This window comes from Homo sapiens, chromosome X (assembly GCF_000001405.40).
Source record: "Homo sapiens chromosome X, GRCh38.p14 Primary Assembly".
NCBI lineage: Eukaryota > Metazoa > Chordata > Mammalia > Primates > Hominidae > Homo > Homo sapiens.
Window position 1 is genome coordinate 31,205,503 of NC_000023.11, and position 26,165 is coordinate 31,231,667.

The 26,165-nt window shown below is 39.4% G+C and overlaps 1 protein-coding gene across 26 annotated transcripts in view, besides 2 other annotated features; it reads right to left on the bottom strand.

Annotated features, from left to right (window-relative positions):
* Positions 1-26,165, bottom strand: part of DMD (dystrophin) — a 2,220,167-nt gene that overhangs the window by 86,281 nt on the left and 2,107,721 nt on the right. For all 26 annotated transcript variants that reach the window (XM_006724469.4, NM_000109.4, XM_011545467.2 and 23 more), the window contains 3 exon segments: positions 17,545-17,619; positions 3,996-4,197; positions 1,080-1,165 (listed from right to left, as the gene is read on the bottom strand). In XM_006724469.4, the coding sequence (XP_006724532.1) occupies positions 1,080-1,165; positions 3,996-4,197; positions 17,545-17,619 (363 nt within the window).
* Positions 21,790-22,084: a silencer, noted in NCBI's record as "tiled region #11226; K562 Repressive non-DNase unmatched - State 24:Quies". NCBI's record gives its function as "represses a minimal TATA promoter and a strong SV40 promoter by Sharpr-MPRA in K562 cells {active_cell/tissue: K562}" and the evidence as "EXISTENCE:reporter gene assay evidence [ECO:0000049][PMID:27701403]".
* Positions 23,682-23,731: a silencer, noted in NCBI's record as "silent region_20728". NCBI's record gives its function as "represses an Ori minimal core promoter by ATAC-STARR-seq in GM12878 lymphoblastoid cells {active_cell/tissue: GM12878}" and the evidence as "EXISTENCE:reporter gene assay evidence [ECO:0000049][PMID:35858748]".

Genomic DNA, 26,165 nt, shown 5'->3' on the forward strand with positions numbered 1-26,165 from the left:
ACAATGTGCTGTCACTATACCATATATACGGTAGATTAGAACCTAACCTATACTAAGTAACTACAATATTTAAAGGAGAAAAGCACACAGGTATCCCATCTCATCCGAAATACATTTTAAAATGGTTAACAAAAGCTGTTCAGTTATTTTTCTCTCGTTCTGAGGATGAGAAAACTCAAGTGGAAACTACATAAAAGTGAGGGCCAAAATGGTTTGTGTATTTTGTGGCTTACTCCTGAAGGAGAAATGATCAGTAGGAGACAGAGTGGCTTTTATCTCCTGCCTGTCCTGAAGCTTAGCACATCTCCTCACATGTGTGGCTAGGCCTCAGGGGAAGAGAGAAAAGACAAGCTAGGCTGAATTTGTTTAATATTCCTACTGAAAAGATTGCTTATAAGCATTTCAAGGGGAAAACCAACTGCAGCCTTTCACAATATGAATGGATGGTCACTTGGTCATCTGAACCATCACTCCTCTAGCATTGGCTTTTAATTTGGTTTTACAGTTTTTAAGCAGAAGAACCCAATGCGTAATCAAAAGGAAATTCTGTAGGGTGGTACGTATCTATCCTTTAAGAAACAGCAAGCTATCTGTCTCTCAAATAATAAAATGTTAGTCACGTCACGGAATTGGATGTGTCAGTACAACTTGCAGTAAGATGATTATAAAATAAACAATGTTTCTTGAACATGAATGTCACATGGTATTCTTTAAATAAGAACCCAAAGACTAGACAAGTGCAGAGATTAAATCTTCACACTTATTTTTCCGACTTACAGAAAGAGGTTAGAAAATCAGACTTTATCCCCTAGGAACATGTGTTTTATTCAGACACAGTCAATGTAATGTAAAATAATACCTGGACTGGAAAAGCTAATCCTCATTCTCTACTTAAATGCCTGCAATTTAATGTTTGACAAGGAATGGCACAAACCAAATTTTATGACACTCTAAAAGCAGTTCTACATCTTACATGAGGAATCTGCTGTCAAATAAGAACAGTCTGTCATTTCCCATCTAGAACTAGGGTAATTAGCCAACATTAATAAAAGAATACAGCATTAATATACACGACTTACATCTGTACTTGTCTTCCAAATGTGCTTTACACAGGGAAATGATGCCAGTTTTAAAAGACAGGACACGGATCCTCCCTGTTCGTCCCCTATTATGAAGAATCAAAGCAGAAAACAATTACTGACCCTTTCCTAGAGGGTAAACACTTCTAGTTAAGAATAAAGCCTTGAAAAGGAAAAATAAAGGAGTAAAGTGCTCAATGATGTGTGAACTCTATTGACCACTGTTTTATTAAGATTGTTTTGAACTTTTCCAAATTCATTATCTCTTTGACTGATGACCTACAATGCAATGGAAATTCAACCAACTTGACCACTGAATGTTTACCAAGTTTCAATTCCTAAAAACCCTTATTTGAACTGCAAAAGTTCTACATAAATTAAGAAAAAAAAATTCTATTCACCTATGGAAAGCCACCTTGGTTTAAGTTGGTAAGCAGAAGAATTACTAATCTTCACCAATCTACTTTGGTTACTAAAGCAAATTACCTACTTTGGTCATGGAAGCCAAAAAAATTACCAGCAACTAACTGCTCAGCCCTCTTAAATGCTCAGATCTTCATCAGATTGCCCCTTATTGAAAGAAAATTAATTACTTCAGGCCACATAACACATAATATAGAATATAAATGTTTATCTCCGTAAGAAAAATATCATACTCTATTAAACAACATTCAAATATATGATCTAAAAAATAAATTTATAAATAACCTGTTGCTATATCAGTGTTTTAATATAGATTGCTTTTATTTGCATAGCATTTTCTATATTTGCATATAGAAAACTGAAATAAAGCATTTCACATAACAAATTTATTAATAAGCTAATTTTATCCATGGGGGAAAAAAAGGAAAAATAAGAATGAAAAGTTTTCCATTTTGTAGAAAATGTCTTTCAAGACATGGAATCAATATGAATGCCCATCAATGAGAAATATGGTACATATACACTATGGAATACCATGCAGCTATAAAAAAGAATGAGATCATGTCTTTTGAACACGGATTAGCTGGAGACTATTATCCTTAGCAAACTAATGCAGAAACAGAAAAGTAAATACTGCATGTTCTCACTTCTAAGTGGAAGCTAAATGATGAGAGCTCACGAACACAAGGGAACAACAGATACTGGGGTCTTGAGGGTGGAGGGTGGAAGGAGGGAGAGGAGCAGAAAAGACAACTGTTGGGTACTGCGCTTAACCCATTTATGCTGGAGGCTGCATATTACTTTTTGTGAAAATCAGACCTTGGCGATGACCTTGAGCAGTAGGATAGGAATAATTCCCACAAGCTTAGTGTTCCAATAATGGAACACTAGGCATAAATGGGTTAATACCTGAGTGATGAAATAATCTGTACAACAAACCCCCGTGACGTGAGTTTACCTATGTAACAGACCTTCACATAATACCCCGAAACCTAAAATTAAAGTTAAAAAGTGTCTTTCAATAGTTTTTTGGCTTCTTATTTTATTACGGAAAGCTACTGGCCCTTAGATATTGGTAAAAAGAAAAAGGAGAAAATATTTCAGAATAATTCGCCTATTAGCACTTCAAAATCACAAAGGATAGGTCCCAATGGCGGTTATTTTCGGTGAACAATATGCTCAACTTCCAGCTACTAAAATTTATTAAATCCCTCAGTCAAAAAGAAATCCTGGGCACTAATGGACTAAACAAATTCCTATCACTGGAAAATTTTCTTATCTTTCTCCCTCTTAAGAAAAGGTAGATCAAAATTTAACAAATCCACTTTATACAGCAACTCAGGTCTTCAAGGAGTTAAAATTGTCACCAAATACTTTTCAGTCAGGTAGAAGGAAGTTATACATTCAGAATGCATTCACATGTCATCTGCAAAGAAAACAGTGCCAAAATATATTTGAGGGGAAACCTGAATACAAACTCTTATCAAAACTAATGTGAACGTAGTTCACAATTGAAATCCGACATGTTCAAGGACTTGGTAGATGACTATGATGAATGTAATAGTCAGGTGGTCCTGAAATTTTAAAAAGCAATACCTTATCAAAATAAGAAAGAAAAAAAGGTATAAATTTTAGTTCAAAAGGTAGTAGAAGTCTACAACAAAGGTAAAAGGCAAAACAGTTGTTTTGCAACTCTTTTCAGAAAACCTTCCCAGATTTCCAAATGGGAGTATGTTCTTGATTGGTGAAATGAGGCATGTAATAATTTTGAGATCTAAGAAGAATTTAGGCAAAATTAAGACCAATTCCTTCTGCTCCCTTCTTCAATTGTCTTCATTAAGCTCAAGAAAAAAAAAAATCAGAACTGGGGATATCTCCCTTGTGTGCAATCCAAAACAAACAATTGTTCTCTAAGAGAGAGTGATGAATGGAGGCGCCAAACTGAAACTTCATAAAATCTTATTAAAAAACAAAAGAAAACGAAAAATGTTCTCAGTTTGAGAAGCTAAGTTTGCTGTATTAAGGGCTTGTTTTCATTTTGTTTGGCCTATCAATTCATAATCTTCTGCAAAAGTGTCCTAAGTATCAGCTAAGACCATTCTGATCTGGAGACAGGTGTGCCAGTATCTCCAGGAGCACAGCCATGGCCGCCAGTGAGAGGAAGCCACCCCTGAAGTGCATGGAAGAATTCCAAAATCCATGGGCGAGAAAGGGAAAGAACCAAAGGCTATATGTCGACTCATTCCACTATTTGCAAAATGAGTGTCTCAGGGTTTTGTTTGTTTTCTAATCTGAGAGCAATCTACATTCTGGCTCTTAACTCCTAGCTTATCAAAATATTTTTCAAGTCATAAATGCAAAAATGATTTATCACAGGAAGAGCATTAGGTCCACAGCTTCCAGGGCCCTGTTGTAATGCTAATTACACTTCACCATTCTGTACGCTAAGCCTCCTGTGACAGAGCCCGGGAAATAAAAACATGCCATACGTACGTATCATAAACATTCAGCAGCCAGTTCAGACACATATCCACGCAGAGAGGGACGTTGACCAAATTGTTGTGCTCTTGCTCCAGGCGGTCATAAATAGTGGTCAAACAATTAATAATCTGCAGGATATCCATGGGCTGGTCATTTTGCTTGAGGTTGTGCTGGTCCAAGGCATCACATGCAGCTGACAGGCTCAAGAGATCCACTGCAAAAAACAAATAAAATCACAAATGACTCAAAGAGTAAAACCTTCCTTTCAGTGTCCTTTTTCCTCTGAGAATCCTAGCTAGGACTCTCTCATACCCTTTAATAAACACCAAACGTGAACCACACTCTCTTTGAAAGGTGTTTTATTTTTATGCCTCGACTCTAAGTTGATGAGTTTGATCAGTATTCAGGATCTGAAGTTGTTCTTAAATCTCACTGGCATTGGGTGAAGATATGGGCAAAGATATAATTCCCATCCTTGGATTACTGGGGAATATCTGAGAGTTAAGGGGACCTAGCCTGTTCTACATAAACAGAGTCAATTGTCACCTGAATAAGAAAAAAAAAATGTTTTAGCAGAAATTTTTAAAGAGATCCGATGATACTTTCTTGTATTAGCATTAGAGAAGATCTGTTAGATTAATCTGTATGGCTAAGGTTGTGTAAACTCTATTTCTAGCTATGCATTTATAATCATTAAGCGCTTTTCTCCTTGAAATATCAGTCACCTCAGCATCTCTCTGCTACCCTAATATTAGGTGAAAAAAATACTCTCCACTAAAATTTTCTATAGGCAAACTAAAGTAATTGCATAATCTATCCAGTTTTCAGACCTGAGGCTCGCTTATTTCTCCTTTCACCTTCAAATTGTATTTCATAATATTCTTTCTAAGTCCTCTAACAACTTTATAAGGCTGAGGGAGGAAAATTCCCTTGATCTGAGGAGGTGTTTAATCTTATGCTGGGGACAAAAATTTAACAAAAGTGAAACTTCAACCTTGTCCAACATCAGCAAATCACAAGCTTTATTCCCAAGTGTCATGAAAAGATGCATTTCTCTAAAGCCAATTTATTAGCCAAACTAGAAACACAACAACATTGCTTTTATACTACCTTATACACCTAAGCTCTGGTTGGAATTCTCAGTCCTTTGAGGCAAGGAATCAATGCTAATTAAGTAAATCTCTCATGCATCTAGGGGGAAGGGGCAATTCAATTATAAATGTAGTTCACATAAATAGAGGTAAATCCCGCTCAGTAAACACCTTTCCCAGTAATAAAGAAATGCAAACTTAAGGCTTTAGTATATTTTACAAGTTATTCATGGCCAGTTCTAATTAAATATTAAGAAAAAAACAAAAATAGTGGTTAATACCTATGTAGGTTTGTGCAAAAATACTTTTCCACCTATATTGCGCACACATTTTTCTCTTTTAAAAAAAGGAAAACAGAAAATCCTGGAGTTTCCCCAGAAGCATGAAACAGACATGGTGGTGGAAGCAGGAGTCTGCACTCCTCCCTTGGAAGGGAAGGCCCCTCTGTTTTTGCTCTGAAATACTCTAAAGATAGAGAAATGACCCTTTTCATGGAAGCTGAGACTTTCTTTAAAGTGGGAGGAAGGAAGATAACTTGGGAGACTTATCTGAAGAATCAAGTGAGAAAAATAATAAAGAATTTTAAAAAGCAATGCAAGGAGGCAGGAGGACGGGAGGACGTGAGGAGGGAATGGCTGAAAGAAGACTGCGTGGGAGGCTGGAGCGAGGTCCAGAGACAAAAGACTCAAACTTTTCTTCTCTCTCTCTTCTGTGTGCTTGTTTTCCTCAGAGGGCACATACTCAAGTGCACGTAGTAGGAACACTTAGAAACACGGTATGCCAGCTCCATTACTGGAAGAGAGGAATGGATTTCTTCCAAACACCAATATTCCCAACATGTTTCCTTATATACTGAAGGAAGCTATGGGTGGTTTGAAGTTTTTCAATTATTTTCTTTTTTGTTACTCTGCTTTAGTCATCATAAATATTTTGCCTCTGATCCAGGCATTTAAGAAGTAACTAGTGAAAATTTTTCGAATCACTTTTGTATTAAGAGTCTTATTTAGCCGTGTGATGGAAATGAACAGAGAAAAACTGCATGCATTTCATTTTATGGGGCCTGCTCTTATCTCTGTACAGGTGAATGGGTAACACATAGAACAGCAAATGTTGAGTAGAAATAGCTCCAGAGGGGAGCAAAGCAATTGCTCTGAAATTACAGGAGCAGAAGATGACACAGTTAGGAGAGAAATACTGTGCAGTGTGCTCTGCTAAAACTGGATGTGGTTAAACACAAGAACAATCCATCACAGAAGACTGAAGAGCACATTTCCCTAAACAAACATGTCAAACAGAATTCAACTTTCATGGAGCTATTTTGAAAAAATTTCCATTTAGGTATACACAATCCATGCTATGGACCCGAAAAGGAGGTGAGAATATCAATAGGGACAATTTAATTGCCATGCATATGCTTTTCAAAATGAGCATCTTAGAGAACACACCTAGACTTTTTGATGAAACATTAAATGTAATGATTAGCTCTTTCTAGGACCCTCAATAAGCAACCAGCAGATACAGTTGTGTGAAACCATTGTTTCCTTAAGCTAGGAATTTCCATTAAATATATTATATATATATATATATATATGTGTGTGTGTATGTGTGTGTGTGTGTGTGTGTGTTTGTGTGTATTCACTAGTAGATATATCTTTAAAGCTACATAAAAACCCAAGTATTCTAATACATCTTCACTTTCTAAATTATGTTTACAGTAGAGGATGCTATAGGCTTTGAAGCCATTGAAGAACAGGGACCATGTGGTGGTACCCTATGCATGAGGGCTGTGGGGGTGAGAGAGGGTGGGGACAGGATAAAAGAAATGGCTGACTCTCCAGGATCCTCTTTGCTGTGCAGGAAAAGCAGACAGTGGCGGTTGGGGGGCGGCGAGCAGGCAGGACTTCAACACAGGGATCCCACTAATGGTTCCTGAGGCTCTGGTTGTGCCTAATCATCTTCTCAACCTTCTAGCTTCAAAAGCTCATTCTTTTCCTTTCTATGTATGCCACAGTAGCTAACTCTTGCTATTCCTTCCTATGTAAGACAGATTTTTTTTGTCTTTTACAGAGTGATAGACTCTTAGAGCCAGAAGGTTGCTTTAAAATCATTTTGCAGTTGAGACAACTGAGACCAGAGATATGGAGACTCACTCTGGGTGTTATGGCAGGATATCTAGGTTTTCTGATTTCTCATGGAGGTACATATTGTAAGGGGGAAAAGTGGGTGGCAGAAGGTGTCCTTACTGACTTTACAGAACAGGAAAACCATTCTGCATTCCATGCTAATGACAACAGTAGGATAAAACAGAAGCACCAAAAAGTTGGTTAGTGGAGAAAAAAAAAGTCTCATGGTGCCCATATAACCCCAAGTTCATCCTATAGGTCAATCTGTATATTCTATGTTGATGTATAAATAATTCTGTGATCTAATTAGCACAGAAACAGAAAGAGGTGAGTAATGGTGGAAGAACTGCTGTATGTTTGCTGATTTTTCTTGCCCAGGCATGCCACTCTACAGGCAACTTACACTTATGGCTGAGGGACCTCCCAAGCAAATCTTTGCACTTCAAGAAAGTCAATGCACTTTGATGTAGTTGTCTGTGCAGTAAGGGTTAATTCCAGAGAGGCTGGAGTTGGCACGAGATGACTTGCTAAAATATCTACACAGTGCAGAGCCCTGGTCAAAGCACTTGCTTTTCAAAGTGACTTACTGTGTTGAAGTGTAGCCATGGGTTGCAGGTTATCACCATTGTTTATTGCTAACAGTAACATTGACCATTTTTACCCGGGCACAGTCAGACCAACGGAAGCCACTGAGTTTGAGGCTGGTTACATAGGAACAGTATGCCTAGGTTACCCACGGGATATAAGAAACCCTGGCTGAAACTCCAATTTGTGCTCCCTGGTTTCCAAGGTGTTCTGTGCTCACATCAGTAGCTCTTGTTCCAAGAGAGAAAATGCATCGTGGTGTGGCTCTTGCAGACAGAGGGCAATTATAGCTTGCACCTGTCCTCTCTGGACCCTATGCTGTGAGGCAGGCTGTGGCTGTGACACTTATTCTTGTTTTAATGTTGTGGGTATATTGCATCCTTTTTCTGCAAGGAACTCTAGATTCGTAAGCACTGTCATTTGGTTCCTGTGAGTCCTCTTTAGCAATTGAACCCTGTTTAACTTCCACTGTCAGGGCAGTGAGTGTCAGAAGCAAGATTGTTTAGAACACCTCCAACTCATTCTTAGCTAAAAGTATGACTGAGGCATTATTTAGAAAGAAAAAAAGAAGATTCTGATAAAAGGGATGAAAAAGAACCTTTGAAGTTGCTCAACAAGCTACGCTTGGTTGAAAAGTAACACAGGCTTTGAAATTGGTTACTGATGGTGTAACTTTCTAGTGGAATCTGGAAGTGAGAGAACTTGAACCTAAGGAGCTAACAAAATGGATTAGGAGGCAATTGCAAACTGATGGCAAGGCTGCTAAAAAAAAATCCAAAAGCTAATGTTAAGTTCAGAATTTCTTTCCACTGGGCTTCACCCTCTCTGGCCTGCAGGTGGAGTCCCAACCAAAAAGCTGAAGCAACTATCATTTTTGAGAAATGGGCTACACCTGTGAGACCAGTTACAATTAAAAAGATAATTCAAGTGGGGCACTTACAGGTATTCCCTATGTCACTACAGGTTTCTTTTTTGATGCCAGACCTAGTAGTCCCTGAACTGGGGCTACAATTAAGAGTTTCAAAGGCTGGTAATATTCCAAAATAAGATACTATGGCTATTAGTTGGTACTTAAGCACAAGCATTCCACAAGGATCAATGGAATGGATTACTCCTTCCTTGTGCCTTGCCTAATTGAAGCTATCACACAACCCCATCATAGGTTGAAAATATCTTAAGTCACAAATGCATTTAATACACCTAACTAACTGAAACTCACAGCTTAGCCTAGCCTACCTTCAATGTGCTCCCAACACTTACATCGGCCTACAGTTGGGCAAAACTGTCTAGCAACACCTTACACAGTAAAGTGTCAGTTGTTTAGCCTCATGATCTTGTGGCTGACTGGGAGCTGAGGTTCAGTGCTGCTGCCCAGCAAGGGGAGAGAGTATCATACCGCATATTACTAGCCTTGGAAAAGATCAAAATTCAAATCTAGAAGTAGAGTTTCTATTGAATGCATATCACTTTGCATCACTGTGAAATCAAAAAATTGTTAAGTTGAAACTTCACAAGTTGGGGACTGTCTGCATTGTGTGGTGTGTGTGTGTAGCTGGGGAAGAGGTTTGGCTTAAAATTAATGATAAAAGGAAAAAGGTGAGATTGTTGCAAGGGGAAGGAAACCACCAAAGATACTTTTTTATTTCTTTTTTCTTTTTTTTTTTTTTTTTTTTTTGAGACCGAGTCTTGCTCTGTCACCCAGGCTGGAGGACAGTGGCGCGATCTCGGCTCGCTGCAAGCTCCGCCTCCCAGGTTCACGCCATTCTCCTGCCTCAGACTCCCGAGTAGCTGGGACTACAGTCGCTCGCCATCACGCCTGGCTAATTTTTTGTATTTTTAGTAGAGATGGGGTTTCACCGTGTTAGCCAGGATGGCCTCGAACTCCTGACCTCGTGATCTGCCTGCCTCGGCCTCCCGAAGTGCTGGGATTACAGGCGTGAGCCACCGAGCCCAGCCGATACTTTTTTTTTTTTTTAAAGGGAAAACCTAATATAATGTTGCTGCCTACGGAGAGGTTTAAAATAAGAGAATAATATGCTCCCTTGGCTTAGACTCAGATGCCTCTTGGGGTGGGGGACTCTGCTAAAACCTCCTCCTCCTTGAAAGAGCCAAGATGTGAGTGGGAGAGTCAGCCAACCTATCCAACACACTGGATGACGAGATGGGCGTTCTAACTGCGACTACAACACCATGGAGCAATATTAATGTGGCTTTTGGTTAGTATTCGTTAATGTCTTTTGGTTCTTCTTTCACAGGACATATCTGTTATTAATCAGCTGTGTCAGGAAATAACCTGAGGGAATATTTACCCAGTCAAATCTGAAGAACAATGATTTATAACAATCTCAATAAACACTGTGTGGCCATCAATTGTGATGATGAAGGTTTAACAAAGGTATTGGGCATGTGATAGAAGGCTTACGTGCTGTATGTTTCATCTGTCATAACATTATGTGTTTAAAAAAATAGCTATTTGCCCCATTACTCCGTGTGGAAAGCCATTAGTGGGTGGAGGGACAATTGGGACAGCTTGAATCAGTGACAGATATTTAAGTTGAATTTGGTGGGCCTACTTTCCTGAGACTGAAAAGCTAGAAATTGGATATGGATGGCTACAGAAATTTCTGTGACATACCCAAACCAAAGTCCTTTTAGGAGTGACTACTATTCATATGATTTTAGCCTAGTCACATTTTTGTGTCTCATGTGTATTTCCCATTAAAGCTGCTATTTCTCAATGGCAACATGTCTGGTGGGCCAAGGGGCATGAATCCACTTGAAATAAAAGAAACTTCTATTAGGAGAATTAGGAACTGGGCTAGAGATACCTGGCCAGGTAGAATTTGCTTTGAATGAGAAATGATAAACTGACGAGAAAGACTTCCTAGTGCAAGAAGCGCACTTCAAGGGCATCCAATTCCAGGAGGAAGGATAGGGATGGCAAGCTGCCAAGGTTGATAGCTGGAGAATGGAACCAATAATTACTAGAAAACGGAACCTACGAGGTGTTCTTTAATCTCTTTAGCATCTGACTGAGAGAAAACCATTCTTTCCCTAGTGGGTAACAGCTAAACAAGATTACAGTATTTCCCCTGGGAGATAGATGGGTCATGTTATGAGACCTCTCTTGGGCACTAATATCTGTCAAACCATATAAACTGAGAAAATTAGTTTGGCCATGTCCTCAAGACGTCTTAAACTCAGAACTAACAGAGACATGGCCTCTAACCTATGTGAAAAATAATACATGGTATATAGAAAAAGTAGATTTTTGTAGGACAGTGGCAAAATAATTACACTGGCCTCTCGAGACCCCCTTGCTGTGGAGGCAGCCTGTGGCTGTGGATCCATATCCTGACAGTAATGCTCTTGTAATGTAGCCTTTTCTGGCAATAGAGCGCGGATTTGTAAGCCATGTTATTGTGGGTCCTGAGAGTCTTCTTTAGCAACTGAAGCCTATCTAATGTCACCCTTAGCGCACCATCAAAAGGTGAGGTGCATTTACAGAGAAGGCGGTGCATTTTTCACCTGGTTTGTCATGGTGAGGGCGAGTCCAGAAACTGTGACTATTCACACAACTCCAGCCTGTACCAAATCTCTATAATGTGTGCTTTAGTTGCTGAATAGAGGCAAAATGTTCTCTATTTCTTACTGTTTGCAGAATATTTGTCACACTTATCAACTGCAGTATATTTAGCCCTATGGTTTGGGCTCTCTCCAACCCACCACACATTATTAATAAACTAAATACACTTGCTTTGTTAAGTGCGTTTTTATTTCTGCTCTTACAAGTTGGCTTTTTAATTTTAGAAGCCTCACACCTGTAGAATGTCATCAGAACTACAAAGGGAGAAAGAAAATGCTTAAATTACCTTCTTCATAACTTTCAATGGAGTATCAGCTATATGAAACAGTTTATAAATCCTTCTTACCAAGATTTTATCTTTGTTCCTGCTTTTCTACCAAGTTTCATTTTCATTTCCAATGTGTTGAGAGGCAGTAAGGAGTCATGCAACACTTAACTGATTACAAACTGGGGACATTATAGGCCAACGGTGATGCTCTCCACTTAAATAGTGAATTCTCTATAGTGGATACAATTGGGTTATTTGGCTTTCTGCAATACGGAAACATTGATAGGGAAGTGAAAAAAAAATAAGATCAAGTGCTTAATAGAGGTGGAAGTGCATATTTCCAAGGCATCTGTAATTCAAACTCTTCACTGGCACCAGGAAATCACTGAGATAACATCATTAATTTTCCTTAAAGTTAGAGTTGGTAGAAGTGGCCTTTGGTAGGGAAAGCTAGCCAGGGCAAGTTTTATTTGCCTGTACCGCAGACAATAGCTCTTTATCATGGCTTTGCAGGCTTAGAAATGACAAAAGCCTGGAAGCTAAATCTAAGCAAATATAAAATTAGGAGAAAATTCTTAAATCATATATTGAAAGTAAGTAATGTGACCACACATATGTTCAATAAAAGGATGGGGTGAACTCTTCATTCTATAGTTTTACTATATATGGCACCCTCCTAGCATTAATGAGAATTCAATACTTAATTTAGATACATACACCTTAATTTTGGCATACTTGAATCTTTTTCACATATTAGAAAAGCCATGCTCAGAAAGGAAATGCAGAGAATTTCAAATTGATTTAAAAGTGAAAATTTAAAGAAATTATTCTACATTCGGAGCTTACCTTTATTACAAGGTTATCACCTCAAATGGACAAAATTTTGTATATTATGAAATTCCCCCATTTTCCCAAAGTTTATTGGAAATTATAAGTTGAAATGACAGACAATAAAACACATATGTGAATGGAATTTTTTTTGAGCAGGAAAATCGAATAATGCCTAAATCCAGGGTGAAAATGGACATTATAGAAAGGAACAGTCATTATAAGGTTTTTCCATCTGGTCTATTTCTGGGTTTCTTTTTTTTTTTTTTCCATAGTATAAACTGGAACAAATGGTTAGCTTCTGAACTTTTAGGATCTCACAGGAATATTCTCTAGCACTTCATGATAACCAGTGCCTAATTACTCCTTTATTAAAGGAAAGCAGTAGCTCTGGGATGGGGCAGGGGCAGGGGCAGGGGCAGGTGAAGAAAAAGAGGCAAGAAAACTTTCTCTATTCAGCCCCCTGACTCGATCCCATCCCAAACTACTTTTTCCCAGCTATGACGTATTAACAGGTCCTAAGGAAACCCTCGACCTGGAAAGCCCTTTAAACACCAGTTAAACTTGGCAACTATATAGCTGAAAAATGATAACTTCGGGCTATAAGGAAATGGAAGCCTTGGTTTACTTTCATTCATGCATTCATCTCATGAAAACATATTGAACCATGCTGTGTGCCAGGTTTTGTACTAAGCATTGGGGATACCAAGATGAAGGGAAAAGGCCTAGTCTCTCTTTCCAAATAATTCCACTTCTAAGGCATTTCTTCTCTATCTCTGTGTAAGAACCATATGCCAAGTGACTCCTTGACTATCTTATTGCTAGCCTCTGCAGATCCTCTGGTTGAACCCCTTTATTTCTGAAGACCTGGCAGCCAGGGTTCACGGTCCTTCTCTTTTGCCCAGTTCTCGCTCCAATTCTGCATGATTTCAACATTGGCATGGGGGACTCATGCATCATTCTAGCCTCTCAGTTCCTTAACTTGCTATTTCACCTCCATGGAAATTCACATCCACTCTACCTCTGCCACCTACTCAAATGGCTATATCCTAGATCTAATCACCTGAAACTGTTCCACCTTCAAAATAATGTTCATCTATGATTCTCTCTGACCACAACTTCTTGACCTTCAGTTCCTTTACTACTTCTTCCCCTACCTCCCTGAAGAGTTAGCATTTTCATCCCTCTACCTCCTAATTACCAGTTTCCATATGCGTTCACAGCTTCTCCTACCCAACAGGGACTTGTCAGTATCATTTTAATCAATCTTTTGCCCAAATCCTCACTTCTCTTGCCCAGCTGTTCCCTCCCTACCCCAGGACAGAAGCATCTGGCTCCCAAGTGCTAAGCGTGCCTGGGGAAATACCACACCCCTGCAGATTGGAGCTACCGTGAAACACTCAGCCGCCTCTGGGTTCACACAGCTGGTTTTCAACTCCGCCCTCTCTCTTATTCTCCACAAAGATAAGCCCAACTTCATCATCTCCTGCTGTTAACTGCGTTGCAGGGACTCTCCACTCCATACAAAAAATGGAAGCCTTTATAGTAAGACATCCTTCACCTTGCTGCTACCTGGTTTCTTAGTTACCTGGACCTGCCCAGATCCTTCCCTCTACCCCACCCATTACAGTGGAAGAGAGGTATCTCTTCCCTCCCTTGGGCTCTGGATTACCTGCCCGTATTCTCTGAGAACACCCATTATTTATCATCTCCTCTTGGGCCAATAATTGTAATCTCACCCTGTCTTCTCATACTCATATAAATACATTCCCACGAATACTATATGTTTGGCCTGCATTTGATTGAAAAAAATCCACGTAAGTTGACCCAAGCAGTTCAAACCCATGTTGTTCAAGGATCAATGTATACACACACACACACACACACACACTTATATACACATATTGTGCCACATAATGACATTTCAGTCAACAATGGACTGCCTATATGACAGCGAGCCCATGAGATTACACTATTATATATTTTTACTGTATCTTTCTATGTTTAAATACGTTTCGATACACAATACTTACTATTGTGTTCCAACTGCCTACAGTATTCAGAACAGTCACGTGCTGTACAGGTGTATAGCCTAGGAGCAATAGGCTATCCCATACAGCCTAGGTGTGTACTAGGCTATACCATCTAAGTTTGTGTAGTACTCTCCTATATTGACATAACAACAAAGTTGCCTAACAACACATTTCTTAGAACATATCCCCATTGTTAAGCAACACGTGACTGTACATACATTTCCATTAACTCCTCAGCCCCCTCCAACTAGCTACCACCCCACTCTTCTCCCCTTCATAAGTAAATTTCTCCAAGAATCATTCATACCTTCTCTAATTCTCCACTTTTGGTTCACTTTTGAACTCACCACACCACTTCCACTGTGCCTCTAAAATCTCACCAAAGTTACTAGGGACCTTCCTGTTGCTAAGTCCAATGGGCATTTTCCGCAACTTTATGCTGACATCCCAGCAACATCTGACCCTGGTAACGGGTTCTTTCTTTCTTCCCATGGAGCATGTGGCATCATAACCTCTTGGAATTTTCCTTCTTTCCTCCTGGCCATTCCTTTGCAGTCCCTTCTGTAGGTTGCTTATCCTGTGTCCTAAATAACTTCCCTTCTCACGCTACACTTTCCTGGAGCTATCCAATCCTCTCCCCCGTTACAAGCAGCACCTACAGGCTCATGATCCCTAAACGTTGTTTGTATATTTCTCCTGAGCACCACAGCTCCGTGTCTAACCTTACCAGACAAGTCCCACATTCACCTGATATTCCAAGCCAAGCACCTAAGTGTCTTCCTTGACTCCCTTTCACCCACCACATCAAGCTTGTCCAACCTGTGGCCCAGGATGGCTTTGAATGAGGCCCAAATGAATTCGTAAACTTTCCTAAAACATTTTTTTTTTTTTTTGCGATTTTTTTTTTTTTTTTTTTTTTTTTAGCTCATCAGCTACCGTTAGCGTTAGTGTATTTTATGTGGGGTCCAAGACAATTCTTCTTCCACTGTGGCCCGGAGAAGCCAAAAGATTGGACATCCCTGCACCACATCAAATGAATCACTGAGGCCTGTCAAATCCACTTCCTAAATATTTCTAAATTCTCTCCACTTATCTCCCTTACTACTCTGCTAATTCAAGCCACCACATTGCTGGTTTAGATTACTGCAACAGGTTTTTCTCCTGTCACTCCCACATCGCACCAATCCATACTCTGTTCCACAGCAAGAATCATCTTTCTAAGCGACAATCTGATTATGTCACCCCCAGGCCAAATCCCCTGACCTCTAAATTCCTTAACTTGGGTTTTAAAAACCTTGCACAATCTGCTTCCTGCTTCTCTCTCCAGCCTATTATTTCACAATAGATCTTTCCCCTGGAATTCTGTGCTTTAGCCATACTGACATATTTTCAGTTCCTGAATGTGTCATGCTTTCTCTGGGCCCTTCAGCACATGCTCTTCTTTCTGACTAGAACGCTCTTCCTAGAGAGAGAGCTGCTTACTCTTCTAGAGTTACCTAGCTTAGACATCACCTCTTCAAACAAACATTCTTTGAATCTCATTCCACACAGTTAGCTGTTCACATAGTACCCCATTGTCCCACTGTTGCACAACTAAATATATGACATTGAAATGGTCTTGGAAATAGAGACAAGATCACTTTATTTTTTTAACCAACTGTAGACATTCTTAATACATTATACATATATTTGCTTATGTCTACAAATTTCATGAACATCCTGGTTATCCCTTGTTAGACTGTAAGTTCCATCAGAGCAGAAACTGTGCCTGTTGGGCCGGGCGCATTGGCTCACGCCTGTAATCCCAGCACTTTGGGAGGCTGAGGCGGGTGAATCACCTGAGGTCAGGAGTTCGAGACCAGCCTGACCAACATGGTGAAACCCCGTCTCTATTAAAAAATACAAAAATTAGGCCGGGCGTGGTGGCTCATGCCTGTAATCCCAGCACTTTGGGAGGCCGAGGAGGGCGGATCACAAGGTCAGGAGATCGAGACCATCCTGGCTAACACGGTGAAACCCCGCCTCTACTAAAATTACAAAAACAAAATTAGCCAGGCGTGGTGGTGGGTGCCTGTAGTCCCAGCTACTCCGGAGGCTGAGCCAGGAGAATGGCGTGAACCCGGGAGGTGGAGTCTGCAGTGAGCCTAGAACGCGCCACTGCACTCCAGCCAGGGTGACAGAGCGAGACTCTGTCTCAAAAAAAAACAAAACAAACAAACAAACAAACAAAAAACAAAAATTAGCCGGGCATGGTGGGGCATGCCTGTAATCCCAGCTACCTGGGAGGCTGACGCAGGAGAATCACTTGAACCTGGGAGGTGGAGGTTGCAGTGAGCCCATATTGCGCCACTCCACTGCACTCCAGCCTGGGCAACAGAGCAAGACTCCATCTCAAAAAAAAAAAAAAAAAAAAAAAAACAGAAAAAAAGAAAAAGAAACTGTGCCTGTTTCATGGGCATATCATCAATGCACACAGACCCTCAGACAATAGTAGAGTTATACATAAACTATTTGATGACATGATAGAGCTGTGTAACACTTCAGGATTTTTCCACAGATGTATGATAAAAAAGGAGGAAAGCAATTCTGTCATTTTTCCTCTACCACTTCATTCATCTGCACGTTAGCATTCAAGCTAATAAACCACACATGTCTATGAAGTTTGGTTTAGATCAGATAGTCATAGTCTTCTAATACTAAGTACATTTTGTAAAAAGAAAAAAAAACAAAGGTAGAACAAGGATTGTGCAAGTTTCACAAAGGTAATTATGGATGCCGATGCCAATGCCAGTAGTTGGAAAATAAAAATTCTCAATATCTTAATTCAACATCAGTAGCTGAGGAATGGTGACAGGAATGATTCTAAAAATAAAACAAAACATTCTAGGCAAACTCTAGGCCAAGGATACATTAAAGAATGAATTATACATTGCAACAGGAATTGTGACAGCTGTTTCTCCCCTCTCTAAGTAAAAATGTACCCAACCTACTTTTTATTCTAAGCAAAGACATAGTATCAAGATCTTCAAATACTGGCCAATACTTACAGCAAAGGGCCTTCTGCAGTCTTCGGAGTTTCATGGCAGTCCTATAAGCTGAGAATCTGACATTATTCAGGTCAGCTGAAAAGAGGGAAAACAAAGAGCATTTGTTATTCCATCAGAAATAACAGACAACCCACCCCCGACGCCCAGTGATTTGCCAATAACTACAACCACCACAAAAATAGCCTAGAAAACATATAGTGTGTATACGCCAAGCTTTCGGAGGTGAAAATTCTGTTAACGTGGGGAAAAGAAAAAATAATTCCTTTTGCCCTTTGACAACCAGGAAGGCTAAGTTCTGTGAAGACTAAAGTGGTATAGCCTGAAGGGCATTCATGTAGTCCTGTTCCCAAGAGGAAAGAGATGGACAGGCATTATTTTTTTCTAGAAAGTAATCTGGATCTACTGTAGTGAATCTTTTCTGCACAAGATTAAAGAGAACAAGAAATACATTATTTAAATAGCTATAAGACCTTAAACAATCAAGTGGCAATATAACATTTTTTCTGACTGTAGAAGTTATACATGCTCACTTTGGGTAACTTAGACATTTAACATATACATATATAATCAAATAAATCATCCACAAGCCCATAAACTCAAAAATAGGCACAACTGGCTGGATTCAGTGGCTCATGCCTGTAATCCCAACGCTTTGAGAGGCCAAGGTGGGAGGACTGCTTGAGGCCAGGAGCTTAAGACCAGCTTGGGCAACATAGTGAGATCCCATCTCTACAAAAAAAGTTTATATAAACCTTTTAAATAAGCACTGTTAACATTTTGAGTATTTTTTATCCAACATATGTGTCTATGTGTGTGATATGTATTTAAAAATATAATTAGGAATAAAATAAACATTTGGCTCTATATTCTAAGGTACAATCATTCTAATGTTCAGCACAGAATAACAACAATATATGTTACTGTGGTTTCTGCAGTCACCGGTCTATCAAGCCCTGACTCACGCCACCTAGCAGGAAGCTATATTTAGATGATGTTCTTACTCAAGTCTGCACAAGCCTTGATAGATACTGGGCTACATTTATTTCAGGAACTCAGCTCCAAAAAGCTCCTTGAAGACAAGAACTCTGTCACCTACTTCTGTCATTTTTCCTAGCAACTTAATATGCAACTGCCCTCTGAAAAAGCTGTTTTAATACAGATCATGGACCGACTGACCAACTGAATCAATAAACAAAAGAATGAAAGAAAGAAAAAGTACACTGACATACATGACTGCCATAATCAAATGACACCTACGAAACCAATTCTGATGAGGTGTTAGGAAAGGGCAATAATTCAATCCATATCCAAGTCACTTGGGTCAACATTTTCAGCTTTATGGCCATCGCAGAGACCAAACATAAAAGCCTGAATTTCAACTAGGGGAAAGAAAACAATGTCTGTAATTTAAACTATTCAGCATACAATTTTGTTTAAAAGACCGGAATACCAAATGTTGGTGAGGATATGGAGCGACTGGAATTCTCAGACACTGCTTGTTGGGAATGTACGACAACTTTGGGAAACCAGTTAGGCAGTTTCTTATGAAATTAAACACACATGTATATTATGACTCAAATATTCTTTTCCTGGATATTTGCACAGAATAAAAAAAAATGTATGTCCACAAAAAGATGTGTACATGAATATCCATAGCAGCTTTATTCATAATAGTCAAAAACCGGAAACCAACCAGTAAGGTAATGGATAAACAAGTTGTGGTAAAGTCATTCAGTGGGATACTACTGTGCAAAGTGCAATAAAAAGGAACTAACTACTGATAATGCAACAATGTGAACTGATCTGAAAAACACTAAGCTGGGTAAAAGAAGCCAGGCACAAAACAGTACATACTGTTTGATTTCACTTATATCAACTTCTAGAACAGGCAAAACTTAGCTACTATGCCAGATGGTAGCCTGGGGTGTGGTGGGAGTAGGTAACTGACCTCAAAGGAACACAAGGGTGTTTTCTAGGTGATCGAAATGTTATATCTTGATTGGCATGGTGGTTACACGAGTGTATACATTTGCCAAAATCTAACCTGAACACTTAAAATGGAAACATGTTATAGTGTTTAAATTATGCCCTGATAAGGTAAATTTTAAGAGTCTTTAAAAACCCTCACATGAACAGTACACTCTGATGTATGTGTGTGTTAGCTTAAGCTACACTGTAGAGGTGGTCAGTTGTCTTAATCAGGAGTGAACTCCAAGGGTGGTTGGCTAGCAATTAATCAAAAAGCCTCATGCCACAGGCGGCCACTGTAAGTGATTCAGTTATATTTAGCTCTTATTACACCAGGGGTTTCATTAATTTTCCTAATTAATAGTTAGACGGGCCTGTGTAGTGATATTAGTGGTTTGCAAAATATGAAGATTGTTGAAAAACATTTAGAAACACTCCCTGCCTTTAAATTGAGTTTAAGAAGAATCCAGTAGGTTCTCCATCTTTAGAAATGGTGCCCTAGGCTGAATTCCAAAATGTCCAGCTGTGGTTCACCGGATTCTTAGTTGCCAGAATTCAGTTAGATGGTTGAGGGAATCCTGCTGCTAGAACAATGGTTTTCAGACTTGAGCAAACATCAGAATCACCTGGAGTGGATAGTTTAAAGATGCAGATTTCCTAGGCCCCACCTCCAGATTTTCTAATTCAGTAGGTATGGGAAGGGCCTGGGAATCTGAATTTCTAGCAAGTTTCCAGGTGATGCTGATGCTGCTGGTCCAGGGACCACACTTTGAGAACCACTCTAATAGAGGACTGTGGCCTGTGTAGACTGTGAGCCTCTCACACCAAGCACCCCAAAAGACAGAACTGTGACTTCACTGTGTCTCTGGCACAGGCTGTAAGATTGTTTTGTACCCATTGGCTAATAAATGCTCCTAAGTGACAGAACTTGTACTGAGACTTGCTTTCTTTATAACCTGGCAGCCGAGAGGTAGTTAAGAGGGCAGTCCTCAACTACATCTAACCATGAATGACTACCAACACCAATTACAGAGAACCTGTGTGAGTCCTTGTTAGTCAAAGTGTGATTTGAGGAAGAATAGCATCAGTATCTGCTTGGAGCTTATGAGAAATGCAGAATCTCAGGCCCCACCCAGATCTGTGAATCCGAATCAATATTTTACTAAGAGCCTCTGGTGATTCATATGGAAGTTCTTTAAATGAATATTTTAATAAAGTTTCTTGTTCCGTGTTGTTAAACTTCAAGTATAAATTCTGTATACCAACACCATCCTGTGTTGTCTTTTGTTTTTCTATCTTTCTATCTTCCATTTTGTGGGCTTTTATTAATAGATTATTTAATAACTACTATAGTCAACTACACCAAAACCTCCCCTCTGGGATATATTTGTGAGTCTCTTGTTTATGATAAATACCAATAAAAAGTATTCAATAAATTAAAAGCATCTCGGAGTATCTTGAAATGCTATATATACAGATTGCTTCTTGAAGATAATTAACATTTGCCTGGACGCTGTCCTTTAGTGAGCAGAACTTGATCTAGTTGAGTCCCTTTAATTGTCCTTCTCTCTCTCTCCCCTAAAAGATGTGGTTCTTCCTTTGTCTCTTTTGCCCAGTCATCACTGCTTACTTTTTTAAGTGGTCTCAGCCAACTCATGGTATGAATTGTCTTGCGGCATCAATCCATGAGAAACCAATTCCTGTCCTCCCCTCCAGATTGGTGCAACATCCTTCACCAGTACCATCAAATTTTTCCTGTACTTGCTAGTGTGGAGTTCCCTTACACACACACTCATCATTGAGTCCCTTTGACTCTTTATAAAAAGAAATGTAGAGACGTGGAAATGCACTTTTGGTCAAATACAGATCCCTTTCCCATTAACACCAGCCTGTAGCAGTTTCCAGGGGATAAGCATCCAATCCCAAATTTTCTCTCATTCCTTTACTTATGCAAAAGTATTGAGTGTTAGTTTTGTGCCAGCCAAACATCTTGTAGAAGATATTGGCATAAAGTTTCTCTTCTTTTTTTCCCTTTCTAATCCTCCTTCTCCACTGCCTCGTAACTCATGTGCCTAGTTTCCTATCATCTTTCTTCTTTCAAAGAACGACGATTCCTCTCTTATGACCCCAATTCTACCCTCTTTTCCTATTTTCCTGGTTCTATTCAGCATTTAGAACAAATGGTCTAAATGAGGTCACAAGCTCCATCCAAATCTTAGCGTTCATATCAAGAATTGGCAAATTCCAGTAGCTAGAGATCCAAGTGGGAGAGGCAAGAATGATCTGATTCTTTCAGGGCATGAATATTAGTGTGGAACAGTATCAGAGTTCAAACTTTCTTCCCTTCTAAATACTTCTAACTATGACACATTCTGCCTCTAGTTAATCCTCCCTGACATCTTTTCAGCCTACCCCCAACCCACTGCAGTGAATAAGCCTTCTGCTACCAGTTTTCCACGCACCAAAGTCCAATCCATTCTCAAACAGTGATTCAGGCATACCAGAAGAAAGTAGCAGGGAATGCCTCCAGCTTTGTTCTTTTGGCTTAGGACTGACTTGGCAATGCGGGCTCTTTTTTGGTTCCATATGAACTTTAAAGTAGTTTTTTCCAATTCTGTGAAGAAAGTCATTGGTAGCTTGATGGGGATGGCATTGAATCTGTAAATTACCTTGGGCAGTATGACCATTTTCACGATATTGATTCTTCCTACCCATGAGCATGGAATGTTCTTCCATTTGTTTGTATCCTCTTTTATTTCCTTGAGCAGTGGTTTGTAGTTCTCCTTGAAGAGGTCCTTCACATTGTGGCATTATTCACAATAGCAAAGACTTGGAACCAACCCAAATGTCCAACAATGATAGACTGGATTAAGAAAATGTGGCACATATACACCATGGAATACTATGCAGCCATAAAAAAGGATGAGTTCATGTCCTTTGTAGGGACATGGATGAAATTGGAAATCATCATTCTCAGTAAACTATCGCAAGAACAAAAAACCAAACACCGCATATTCTCACTCATAGGTGGGAATTGAACAATGAGATCACATGGACACAGGAAGGGGAATATCACACTCTGGGGACTGTGGTGGGGTGGGGGGAGTGGGGGGGATAGCACTGGGTGATATACCTAATGCTAGATGACGAGTTAGTGGGTGCAGCGCACCAGCATGGCACATGTATACATATGTAACTAACCTGCACAATGTGCACATGTACCCTAAAACTTAAAGTATAATAAAAAAAAAATAAAAAAATAAAAAAAAAAAAAAAAGAAAGTAGCAGGGCAAACGTTTAGCTTCCATCACAATGCTACGGAAGCCATACAAATGTATATCTGGTAACTGTCAGTGAACTGCAACGGAGTTCTGGTGCCCTACAAGTCTACTACTCAAGAGAGTTAACTGCCTGTGTTGTTTGAGTCCGCATGTGTTGCTAGGAGTCTGCAGCACCACTCCCTCCGGCTTACAGCTGGAAGAGATAAGTCTCTGCCTTAGGAAAGTGTGTAGGATGCACACAGAAACCTCAAGATGCAATACAGCTGTGAACAATGTGACACTGTCCTGGGCTAAAGCTTGGGATGACTGTGTAGTGAAAGTATGTATGCAGTTTAATAAAGCTAAAGCCCCCCATTCCCGTGCCCCATGAGAGACTGTCCTCCACTTTCCCTGGGAGCTGACTTTCCAGGACTCTGATCCAAGTTGTAATGAGCTCACTAGCTCTCACAGCCGGAACTCAAGAGGAGTGAGACTATCCAAGAAACCAGTTACGCCATGTTTCCATGGCAGCTGGGAGAAAGCGCACTTCAGAAGGGTAAAAATGCTGAACTGCACATTTCTCTTCATAACTTGTATTATTTTATCCAGGGCTGGTTCTAGCCTATAAATAGAGAAATCTAGAAACGTAAGGAACAAGGGCAAACATCAAACCACCTACCTTCTCAAGTTGAATTTCCAACTACTGAAGTGATAGGCCATTCATCTTTTATTTTGAAACATGAAACAAGTAATAGGCTTCTCTTGCCCCTTTGTTTAGTCTATGCATTTTTCTTGACTTTGGTAAGTATTTCTGTTTTATGACTTTCACTTTTACTCTGTGTAATAGTAGCAGGTGTCAAAATTCACCAGAAAAGAGGAACAACTGGTCAAGTTTGCGTCACATATCTACATGTTACATGCTTTTGAAAAATAGTGAGAAACACCTCAGCATTTTAAAGCCATGGAAGCATTCCAAAGATATTACAGAAAAAAAACATTAAGTCCCTTCATTTCAATTTTATAGCTGGTTTCTGTCTTTTTAATAATACTGCAAAAATCCTACTATCTCTGACTGAACTGAGGTCTAGAATTTAAAACAAGGAGTGTTTTAGTCTATCTTTCCAATGGCTTATGGAGACTTTTTGGAAAGGCCTAAGGTTTCAATATGCCTATCTATTAGCTAGAAAGAACAATAATGACCTCATTAACTTTATGAGTGGAAAGAGCTGTACGGCTAAATGATTATTCCAACAGATAAATTGGTATAGTGGTCTTTGTTTCTTCATACCAACTCTATTTCCCAGAAGAAATTTAATCCAAATCTCCCAGGTGGTAAGTGAAAAATAAAATTTAGAGCACATATGCTTTTGGGGGAGTATTGTTCTAAATTCAGTGTTTGGCATACAATACGCATTGAACTACTACTGCCTGCCTATTTTACTAATTTTCCAAATTTTCCCAAGAAGCCAAAACAAGGCAGTCTCCCCACATACTCCTATTATAGAAAGGTGGCATATTTTAAAATATAATAATATGTCTCCAATTTTCCAGTCTCACTCCTCCAAAGGATTCTAATGGACTTTTCAGATGACAAGTATTATTCTTGCCAGCTCAAACTCACTAGAACAGACAAGAACCTTGGATCTTAATGAGACTTCAGACAAATTGAGTAATTTAAATCCAGTCTGTCTTGAAAGCAAATTAAGCCAAAATATCCAGGCTTCAGAAGTCTAGAATTATTGGGAGATCTTCAAGAACAGACCAGGAATTCTGGAACATATCTTTAAAGAATTAGCTGAGAGAAGAGGAACACTAACACATCATACTTGGTCTATAATTTTTTAGATATATTTGAGGCCTCTTAAAATCTCAACTCGTAAAAACCTCATCATCAACATAGAGCTTTACTTAAATGGGGGAAAAATAAACCTACACACAGATAAACAGGAATTATGCATTCATACTTAGATAAGTACAGAAAGTACAGTCTGTGAATTTATAATTACTATCAAGTTATGTTTCCAGATGTGAAATGGTATTACTTATTTATCACCAATGACTTTGTAAAACTCTTCTAAGAAATGAAGGAGAGGGCCAGGTGTGGTGGCTCACACCTGTAATCCCAGCACTTATGGAGGTCGAGGCGGGCGGATCACGAGGTCAGGAGTTCGAGAGCAGCCTGGCCAACATGGTGAAACCCCGTCTCTATTAAAAACACAAAAAAATTAGCCAGGCATGGTGGTGCACACCTGTAATCCTAGCTACTCAGGAGGCTGAAGCAGGATAATTGCTTGAACCCAGGAGGTGGAGGTTGTAGTGAGCTGAGATCGCACCACTGCACTTCAGCCTGGGCGACAGAATGAGACTCCATCTCAAGAAAAAAAAAAAAGGGAGAGAAGCAATAAAGTACCTAGTATGGCACAAATGTGGAAGACTCAGAATTGAGGAAAAGAGAAAAAGGTTATGAACCAAAAAATACTGAGAAGTTCAACTGTGAAATAAAAGATAGCACAAAATCCTGGCTGTGGATTGTTTAAGGCATTTCTGGCTCCCTCCTCTTGCTTGGCCTTCCTCAGCAGAATCTCACTACTTCTTAGCAACACTGTAATAATGGCAGAGTTGAAATTCAAATTAGTTTTGCTCATTGTTAGCTGCCCTGGTAAAAGGTTTGTTGAGAAAGCAGTTTCTGTAACAAATGGCCGATATAAAGTTTTCTGGGGGAGAACTGTGTATCTTAAGTACCATTTCTGGGGCCTGAATTCTGCCCCAGATAATGGAGGGCTGACTCATATAGGCACCACTGTGCCATGCTCCTTTAAATCAAGCTTCAAGAGCGGAAGGATCAGGGCTCTAACTCCCAAAACCTTCATTATATATAAAACATACAATCCATAATAATTATGGATCCATAAGGATAAATGTCTTCTAAAAAGCTACAAAGCAGTGTTGCCTGATCTTTTAAAAATCATTAGTATTATTTTAATATATAACATATATTATTTTAAATACATTTAAAATAGTACAAATGACATATTTAAATACATATTTTATATATTTATAACATATGTGTATTTAAATATGTATTTGAAGTAATACTACTGATTAAAAAAGACTCTTTAGGCAGAACTGTTTTATAACTGCTTAAAAGACATTCATCTATCCATAATCCTTTCATCTATCCTTTCAATATTTATTGTGCATGTACTATAAGCCAAGAACCATGCCAAGTACATGGAATACACTGGTAACCAAAATAAATCTCTGCCTTTATTGACTTTGCAGTGTAGCGAAGGAGATGGATAATAATCAAATATTCATATGTAGGCCAGGTGCGGTGGCTCGCGCCTGTAATCCCAGCCTTTGGGAGGCCAAGGCAGGCAGATCACCTGAGGT